Source organism: Homo sapiens, chromosome 16 (assembly GCF_000001405.40).
Source record: "Homo sapiens chromosome 16, GRCh38.p14 Primary Assembly".
Lineage (NCBI taxonomy): Eukaryota > Metazoa > Chordata > Mammalia > Primates > Hominidae > Homo > Homo sapiens.
In genome coordinates, this window is record NC_000016.10 from 22,053,765 (window position 1) to 22,064,228 (window position 10,464).

Here is a 10,464-nt window from a genome sequence, read left to right on the forward strand (position 1 = left end):
TGCACTCCAGCCTGGGCAACAGAGGGAGACTCCGTCTCAAAAAAAAAGAAGTGGTTATTGCTTCAAGGAAAAGAAACGGAGTAGTTGGAGGCCCATTGTTGAAAGGAAATGTACTTATCACTTTATGCTATACTCTTTTTGTCTTTGAATTTTTGTAGCAAATGTATATAGTACATATTCAAATTTTAGTTTTAAAAATGTGTGTATAGAGAGAAAGGAGAGTCATTTATCATTTGCGAGAGACAGCTGGGGAAATTCCAGTATCATTTCTAACCTTGATGACTTTGCAGGTTTTGCCAAACCATATAAGAAATAAAAAGAAGACACTTTTTTTTTTTTGTTTCATTTTGAGCCAAAGTGTCCCTCTGTTGCCCAGGCTAGAGTGCAGTGGTGGGATCTTAGCTCACTGCAGTCTCGATCCCCAGGGCTTAGGTCATCTTTGTGCCTTAGCCTCCCTAGTAACTGGGACTACAGGCACATGCCACCACACTTGGCTGATTTTTAAATTTTCTGCAAAGACAGGGTCTCACTCTGTTGCCCAGGCTAGTCTCGAACACCTGGGCTCAGGCGATCCTCCTTCCTTGGCCTCCCAAAGTGCTGGACATACAGGCATGAGCCACCACACCCAGCCAGGAAGACAAATTTTTGTTGAGAAGGTATTTCACCTCTCATGCCAATTTTTCCTTGAAAGTTAGATTCCATGGAATATAATTTATCAAATATCAGTGATACTCTACTCTTAGCCCTTATCCAAAGCCTTACCAACCTTACCTCTCTCTTTATATTGTTTACTAAGGAGTCTCTGGAATTTTGTTCATGTTTTTTAACATCTTTTTGAGGAAAAATAACTTTCTTAATTCTCTTCATAAGTTCTCTTCAATTCTTAGTAATCAGTACTTATATTAGAGCAATGCTGAACAATTTAAATGCACAAGTATCTCACCAAAACCTTTATTCAGGCCCTACCTGTGATAGGAAACAAAAGTCAGTGTCTGTACCCACTATCTTGACTATTTAGAAAGAGAATCTACTAATTGGACACCTTTCTTTTTCCTTAAGACTGTTCACAGATTTTTTTTTCACATTTTCATTTTAGAGTAATAATTTGGGTCTTATTACTAAATTAAAATTATTTAAACATGTCAAAGGCATTTATCTCCATAAAGTGTTTAATCCATTCTAGTTTGTAAAGATAGGGGTTTTTTTTTTTTCTTTACATTTATTATGTCTGGTATAGATGATTAAAACTTTGTAAGCGTAACCTGTATTTAGCTGAGTCAGGAATTCTCTTAATAGTGTAAGTCTCTAGCCCACTGAAAAGTCTTGCCTTCTCTCCATTTGTTTTTGAGGGTCAACAAGTCTGGTCAGCTTCTGTGCAACATCATACATCAGTGTATTACCAACGGCCACTGCAAGGATTGATGCTGTTTCCACTGGGTAGCATGGCATCCGCCTGGTCACCTTAGTCAACACACTCCTTCTGCTTCTGTGTGTGTGAAGGAGTCAACACACTCCTTCTGTGTGTGTTAGTCAACACACACCTTAGTCAACACACTGCTTCTGGGTACTGCTACATCCACACCACTGTTTCCTCTAGGTTAAGTGTTGATATACTGTTATCTCCCAATGACAGGACGCTGAAATGAACTACATTATGCTCTACTGAAATAGTTTCATTTTATGTTACACCCTGACATTTACAGTACCACAACAGGATTGCCACTTCCTCCAGTATCTTGCAAACTTTTAAAGGAACTAGCTATTTTTCCTACTACCCTTGCATCCTCCTTGTGCTTAGATACAAATCCACCGGAGGCAAATACAAGTGACACCATGCAGTACTCAGAATCACTCCTTCTTTATGATGGATGGTAAAGACTTCATTACTAGCTTAACTTTGCTTCCTAGACTTTTTCTCTCATGAAAGTAAATTCTTTCCAGAACAATCATCAGTCTTTAATGCAAATAAGTTGCTTGAAAAAGATTTATCCTTGCAGCTCAAGTCCCAAAAATTCTATCCCATATCAGGTTTTGTAATGGAAAGTGGATCAGTAGGTGTTGCTCACATAGCAAGCTGATACTTGTAGTCATATCAACCTTTAGCCATCACTTTAGGGTGGAAAAGAAATGACTTTTCATTATGCCTCTCTTATATGCCTGTGTTTTTCACTAACTTTAGAGGAAGAGTAGTTAGGCAGCCTTACTGACTTGAATAGTACAAAGCATGCCAAAACTGTGAAGCTGTTTGGTGATATGTCCTCCACACTGTGGTCCCAAAAGACCAGTAAACCTAAAGGGACTAATATGGGCCGGCAGGGGGCGAGGCAGGGTAGAACCTTGGGGTATATTCCTGCTTTCAGAGAGGTGGCAAAAGTAAGCCTGGATACCCTGTGCTAGACTTTGTAGCTTTGCCCGGAAGCCCTCTCTATTTGGGGACTAGGCTTATTTAGTTCTCTTTCTAAAACGTTTTGACAAATATAACTTATATTCTAGGACATCTGCCACTGACGCCTGAGTTCAGACATTAATTGTCAATTCTGTAGTCTTTTTTTCCTTCAAGTTTCTCTTGTCGCTTCCTTTTCTCCCTCCTTTCTTTCTTTCTTTTTTTTTTTTTTTTTTTTTTTTTGAGACAGTTTCGCTCTTGTCGCCCAGGCTGGAGTGCAATGGCGCGATCTCAGCTCAACGCAACCTCCGCCTCCCAGGTCAAGCAATTCTCCTGCCTCAGGCTCCTGAGTAGCTGGGATTACAGGCATGCACTACCACACCCGGTTAATTTTATATATATATATATTTTTTTTTGGTAGAGACGGGGTTTCTCCATGTTGGTCAGGCTGGTCTCAAGCTCCCGACCTTAGGTGATCCGCCTGCCTCGGCCTCCCAAAGTGCTGGGATTACAGGCATGAGCCACTGTGCCCGGCCTTCTCCCTCCTTTCAAATTAGACAAACAAAAATATTTTAGTGTCTCTCTGATTTCTCTATGTTTACATTTCACTGTCCCAGGAACCAGCCTAGTCCGTTAGGAACCAACATACTCCCCAAGACACATCTCAAATGACAGTTTGCTGGCCATGTTAAAAATGCATTTCTGATTCTATTTAGGGATACCTTTAGTCCATGAAATAAATGAGAACATTATCAGGATTCATAATTATTATCTGGATATGTCCCTAAAATATAGCATGTTTTGCTGACTTACTGAAATACATATTTGTTTCTAGTTTTTTCTATTTCCCTTCCTCTCAAATAGTTAATTAAATAGTATCAGTGACCTAGGAAAGTCACTGTTCAAACAATTCCTTCCTTAAAATGAAGAATTATCGACTATTCTCTAACTTAGTATTTTAGAGAGAGAGAGAGAGTATAATGTGAAAAAATGTGGTGTCTTTATTCATTTTTTGTTGCTATAACAATACCTAAGACTGGGTACTTTATAAAGAGCAGAAATTATTTCTCACAGTTCTGGAGGCTGGGAAGTCCAAGATCAAAGTGCCAGCAGCTTAGGTGTCTGGTGAAGGACCAATCTCTGCTTTCAAGATGGGTCCTTGATGCTGCATCCTCCTGAGGGAGGAACACTGTTCTAACATGGCGGAAGAGAGTGAATTCATTCTCACAAGCTCTTTTTATGGCAGCATGAATCTGCTTATAAGAGTGGAGTCCTCATGACCTGAACACCTTCCATTAGGCTCCACCTCCCAACACAGTTGCATTGCCGATTGTTTCCAACACATGAATTTTGGGTTGCACATTGAATCACAGCATGTGAGTTCTCAAATAACAGACACAAAAGTTACATAGAAGAGATTGATAGTTCATTCACTTAATATTTATTGCAGACATTATATGTCAGGAACTCTGCTAGGCATTAGATATATATTGGAAAATAAGATAGATACTGGCCATATAGAGAACTTATCTAGCAGTTAACAGACAACAAAAAAATAAAAATAAATATAATTGTCATAGTGCTATAAAGGGAGAAATGTAGTTTTAACAGGAACCTATTAACAGGAAGAATTTACGAGGGAAGTCCTCCCTAGGAAAATGACATGTAAACTGGAAATGAAAGGAAGTGCAGGAGTTAGCAAGAACATGAGCAGGGAATAGTTCTGCCAGCAAAAAGAATAATGTGCAAAAGGCCCTGAAGTGGAAAAGAGTTTGGTGCTTTTAGGAGCTGAAGAAAACCAATGAGGCTAACTTGTGTAGAGCCAAGTGGGGGGAGTGAGATTAGATCTGTCTGAAAAAAAAGGCATAGTTCAGGTAATACAGGACCTGGTAGGCCATTGTAGAGATTTTGTTCTTTATCCTAACAGTGATGGAAGCCATTAAAATGTTTAAGGTAATGTGACAAAAATCAGATTGCATGTTAGAAACAGTTGTTCTAGGCCGGGTGTGGTGGCTCACACCCATAATCCCAGCACTTTGGGAGGCCAAGGCGGGTAGATCACAAGGTCAGGCGTTTAGGACCAGCCTAGCCAACATGGTGAAACCCCATCTCTACTAAAAATACAAAAATTAGCCGGGCGTGATGGCGTGCTCCTGTAATCCCAGCTACTTGGGGGGCTGAGGCAGGAGAATCACTTGAATCCAGGAGGCGGAGGTTGCAGTGAGCCGAGATCGCGCCACTGCTCTCTAGCCTGGGTGACAGAGCGAGACTCCGTCTCAAAAAAAAAAAAAAAAAAGAAAGAAACAATTGCTTTGCAGTATGAAGAAGAAAGGATTGGAAGGGATAAGAAATGAGTGCTGAGAATTTACTTTGACTTGGGTTGGGATGTTGGACATGTAGACAGAGAGGACAGGATAGACTTTTGTTTAGGAGGTAAATTCCACTTGACTTAGTGATTTCAGAGTGGGAACCTATGGGGGAAAGAAGGGGAAGGAGTTAAGAATAACTGACCTGTGCAACTGGATGAATAGTGGTGCCATTGAGAAGGACACTGGGAGGTTTAAATGGAGGATAAGTTCGTTTTCGTATTTGTTGAGCTTGAGATGCCTATGAGGCATCCAAGTGGAAATATTAAGTAAGCAATAAGCAGGAATCTGGAGCTTAAGAGAGATGTCTTAGCTAGAGATCAATTTGTGAGTCATTGTCTTTTAGGTGATAATTGAATCAGTGAACCCAGCTGAGATTGCCTAGGAAGAATATGGAGTGAGAAGAAAAGGGCAGCTTGGGAACAAACTTGACAACTCTTTGGTGACGTTCTGTATAATTTTTATTCTGAACAGACTTTGGTTTTATAAGAATTGTACTTTGAAATAACCTTGGTTGTTTTAACTGAGACTTTCTGTTGTGATGTAGTAACCCTCTCTCTCTCGCCAGATATATTGTCATCTTTTTATTTTTTGTATATAATCTATTATTTATTCAAACAGTGAATAGACTTGGCCATTCATTGATCATCCAGAGGTAATATAAGTGATGTTTTCTAAGCATCTGGGTTAAACAGTTTTGTCTAGATACAGTAGTAAGAACCATTCTTACTATATTCTTGTCCTATAAATGGTTGAGGTGACAGAATGTTTAGCTGTCTGTTCAGATGTAATAAGGAAGGTTGAATTCTCCTTGGCAGCCTTTTTTCATGAGTTGTTGGGCATCTCTCAGAGACAGCTCTAGAGATAATAAACGTTTATTATTCTGGTGTCCTGACTGATGTCATCTCTTATTGCCTAAGCCTCAGTCTGGGATTAAGATGGTGGGTGTATTAGTCCATTCTCACACTGCTATAAAGAAATACCTGAGACTGGGTAATTTATAAAGAAAAGAGGTTTAATGATTCACAGTTCAGCATGGCTGGGAAGGTCTCAGGAAACTTATAATCATGGCAGAAGGTGAAGGGGAAGCAAGGCACCTTCTTCACAAGGTGGCAGGAAGGAGAATGAACGCAGGAGGAACTACCAAACACTTATAAAACCATCAGATCTTGTGAGAACTCACTATCACGAGAACAGCATGGGGGAAATCACCCCCATGATTCAGTTTCCTCTACCTGGTCTCTCTTTCAACATGTGGGGATTATGGGGATTATAATTCAAGATGAGATTTTGGGAGGGGACACAGCCAAACCATATCAATGGGGTTTTCCCCCTTTGCCACTAAGTAGCCACAGAAGGCAGGATAAGAAATTGACAAATTGGCCAGGTATGGTGGCTCATGCCTGTAACCCCAACACTTTGGGAGGCTGAGGCAGGTGGATCACTTGAGCTCAGGAGTTCGAGACCAGGCTGGGCAATATGGTGAAAATGTGTCTCTACCAAAAATACAAAAATCAGCAACGCGTGGTGGCACATGTCTGTGGTCCCAGCTACTCAGGAGGCTGAGACAGTAGGATCGCTTGATCCCAGGAGGCTGGGGTTGCAGTGAGCCGAGATTGCGCCACTGCACTCCAGCCTGGGTGACAGAGTGAGACTCTGTCTCAAAAAAAAATTGAAAAATTGGACTCAAAATATAAAACATTTGTCCTTCAAGAGCCATTGCTAAGAAAATTTAAAAGCAAGGCTATGGGGGAAATATTGGTAAAACACATGTCAGAAGATGGACTTGTATTCAGAATATTTGGAATATATAAAGAACTCTTTAATCATTGGACAACTTGACTTTTTTAATTGATAAAGATTTTAACAGGCCAGAGATGGCAAGTAAATACATGAACATATGTTCTATATCATTAAACATTAGGGAAATAAAACCACAGTAAGAGACCTCTACATGCCTACCTCTACATTTTTAGAATGGCTAAAACTAGAAAGATTGAAAATACAAAGTGTTGATGAGTATGGTGAACAACTAGATTTTTAGATATTGCTGCTGGGAATGTAAAATAGTACAGCTGGCCGGGCACGGTGGCTCACACCTGTAATCCCAGCACTTTGGGAGGCCGAAGCAGTCCAGTCAGTTGAACTCAGGAGTTCAAGACTAGTCTGGCCAACATGGTGATACTCCATCTCTACTAAAAATACAAAAGTTAGCTGGGCTTTATGGCGCATGCCTGTAATCCCAGCAACTCCAGAGGCTGAGGCAGGAAAATCACTTGAAACCAGCAGGCGGAGGTTGCAGTGAGCCGAGATCGCATCATTGCACTCTAGCCTGGGCAACAGGAGCAAAACTCTGTCTCAAAAAAAGAAAAAAAAAAAAGAAAAGTACAGCTACTTTAGCAAACAGTTGGGTAGTTTCTTATAAATTTAAACATACACTTACCATATGACTAAGCTTTTCACTCCTAGGTATTAACACAGGAAAAATGAAAACGGGTCTTTACAAAGACCTGTATGCAAATGTTTATAGTAGCCTTATTCATGATTGCATATGATTTCATTTATATAAAATTCTACAAGAGGCAAAACTACACTGTTAGAATGTAGATCTACCTTGGGAGCTTGGGGGAGGAGGCTAACTGCAAAGGAGTCTGGGAACTTTTTATGGTGATGCACACATTCTATATCATGGTTGAAATGGCTACATATATTTGTCAGAACTCATTGAATTGTACATTTTAAAATGTGAATTTTATTGTATCTAAACTCGACCTCAGTAAACCTAATGTCAGCATTTGTGAAGGGTTATCAGAAGCCTTTTAGGATATCACTTGTAAAATGGGACAGTAGACCAAAAGACAATGAAGCTTTTTGCTCAAAATTCCATGAGTAGTGGTGCCTGTGGATAGAATGCTTATGTTCAGATTCTTAATCCCACACGACTGCACAATTCCCTTGGCATTAACTCACACCCTCCTATGTATTGTGCTTTTTAACTTTCTGTGGATGTGTGTCTGGCTGTGTGTATGGAAGTTCTGGAAACACAGGGGTCATGTCTTCATGTGTCCTTCATACATCCTACAGTGTATTGCACAGATCTTGTGCTCAGTATTTGCGGAATGAATGAAAGCTTGGTATAGCACGCTTGTGCCCACTAGACTTGGACAGAAAAGTCAGGCATAGCTCATGGTGTGGTGCTAGGCTTCTCAAGATCATGAGAAACCTTCTCTAAAGTATGGTTTTTCTAGACCACCATCTCTTTGCTTAGGAGATCATGGCTACCACAAATGTAAGCTAATTAATGAGGGATTGATTTTATATATTTCTGCAAAAGCTTAGGTAGTGTTTTCAGAAGTTGAAAATTGGGGAGATATCACCTTACATTTTTAATCTTATGCTGAATTTAACTACAATGAGAAAACAAGCTCCTCTTAAAGATTAAATGGAAGAAGAGATGTCAGAACTAGAACTTTTGTCATTCTCCAAAGCTCTCCACTCTTAAATCTATCCACTTTATAATTGAGGCATCACACTGATGGCACAGAGAAACACTTGTCTCAGTGTTAAACTTGCTTTCCTCATATTTGTGAGGCTCTAAACTTTTACAGTTCTGACTCATTTAAAAACAAGTGGATCTACATAAATTGGACATGAATTCATGATTTTTCTTCTAAGTCTAAAAAAGCAAGAGACTCAGAGGTACTATGAGACAACAATAAATTTAAGAGAATACTAAAATAAAAAATATATAAAAAAGAGAAAGATAGAATCCCAAACTATGTTTCTCTTATTTCTTTTTTTTCTTTTCTTATATTTAATTTATTTATTTTAGAGAGAGGGTCTCTGTCACCCAGGATGGAGTACAGTAACATGTTCATAGCTCACTGCAGCCTCAAACTTCTGAGCTCAAGCAATCCTCCCACCTCAGCCTCTTGAGTAGCTTGAACCACAGGTGCACATCACGATGCCCGGCTGATTTTTTTAGTTTTTGTAGAGATAAAGTCCCAGTGTGTTGCCCAGGCTCAAACTCTTGGCCTTAAGTGATCCTCCTGCCTCTGTCTCCCAAAGGGCTGGGATTACAGATGTGAGCTGAGCCATAGCACCTGGCCTATTTCCTTTTTTAAAAGTATATCGACATAGCAACACATTATTGATAATATTTAACATCTATCAAGTTCTTACTCTGTGCCAGGCATTTGTTCTGAGTGCTCTGTATACATTCTCTCTCTTAATACACACAATACTGGGAGGTCATTCTGCATTTACTGAGGAAGCTGAGGTACACAGAGGTTAATTAACTTGCCCAAAATCTCACAGCCAGTAAGTGGTAGACCTGGATTTCGGTCTTTTTTCTTTTGAGATGAAGTCTTTCTCTGTCGCCCAGGCTGGGGTGCCATGACGCGATCTCGGCTCACTGCAACCTCTGCCTCCCAGGTTCAAGCGATTCTTCTGCCTCAGCCTTCTGAGTAGCTGGGATTACAGGCACATGCCACCATTCCCAGCTAATTTTTTTTATTTATAGTAGAGGTGGGGTTTCACCATGTTGGCCAGGCTGGTCTCGAACTCCTGACCTCAGGTGATCCACCCGCCTCAGCCTCCCAAAGTGCTGGGATTACAGGCGTGAGCCACCGCGCCTTTTTTGAGAGGCCAGATTTGAGTCTTAATCCAGAACCTGAACTCGAACTGCTGATATGCTATCTACCTGTGAAGACAACACATACATGACTAAATGGTTTAGAATTTGATTTAATGTCAGAGAATTACTGTACTCATGTAAATTGTTAAGGAAGTACAATTTAGTAGAGAAATGATTTAAAGTTGTTTAATACCGGAATATCAACTAGTTGAAAAAGAGCAGTTACTTTAACAGACCTGGAGATCATAAATGGATCCTTTGCTCTTGTGACTTTATAAATTCCTGAGAAGGTAGTAGTGCACATTTTCTGGTCGATGCAAATAGGTAAGACAAATGTGAGTGTTCATTTTGATGTCTGAGAGTAGACTATAAATAGCCAAGTTTCCTTGGAGATAGGATAAGAGCCTAAAGTTGATGTAGGGAATCCTTTTGTTCTTCAGACAAAGATATTGGGATGTTTCTTTAAGGAGAATAAACCGAGAGCAGGGTGTTCCTTGAACGTTTATGAGAAATAGTGGCTAGTGTAGGAAGAGGTTACATTTTATAAGGAACAAAACCCAGGGGAGCCTCTCCTGTGAACTGACAAGAGGAACCCAAAGATGACATCTCCCTCTATATATATGTTTTTTTACCTCCCATGAAAGTCCTTAGATGCACTATCACTGTGCTTACAAAATTGTGATTAAGTCTGTTCTGATAGAAGTCTGAATGTTCCTGGAGGTATTTTTAGGAATACTGTTCATTTTCTTTACTCAATGAATGGTGTTCAGGGAAGTTAGCATCATGTGCTAGGAAGTTTTGAAGTGGGTAATTCAAAACCTGGGTTTTAGTCTCAGCGCTGCTAATTAACTTTGTATCCTTGGATTAATCATCTAATCTCTCTGGGCTTCAGTATTTTCTAAACCCTAATTTGGGGAGATTAGAACAGATGATCTCTGAGATCCCTGCCAGCTCTAAATTCTCTAATTTTATGACTGCTTTTGGCCAGGAGCTTTACTTGAGAGCTGCTATTGTCTGCTCATTGCTTGCTTGTTTCTTGATCATTGTCCACAGGCAGTCCTTTTCTGTGAGGCTATGGG

General features: G+C 40.0%; 1 protein-coding gene across 4 annotated transcripts in view, besides 1 other annotated feature; it reads left to right on the forward strand.

Annotated features, from left to right (window-relative positions):
• The window catches only part of MOSMO (modulator of smoothened), an 84,542-nt gene that overhangs the window by 45,654 nt on the left and 28,424 nt on the right, over positions 1-10,464 (forward strand). The gene's annotated exons all lie outside the window — the stretch shown is intronic.
• Positions 204-393: an enhancer, noted in NCBI's record as "active region_10566". NCBI's record gives its function as "activates an Ori minimal core promoter by ATAC-STARR-seq in GM12878 lymphoblastoid cells {active_cell/tissue: GM12878}" and the evidence as "EXISTENCE:reporter gene assay evidence [ECO:0000049][PMID:35858748]".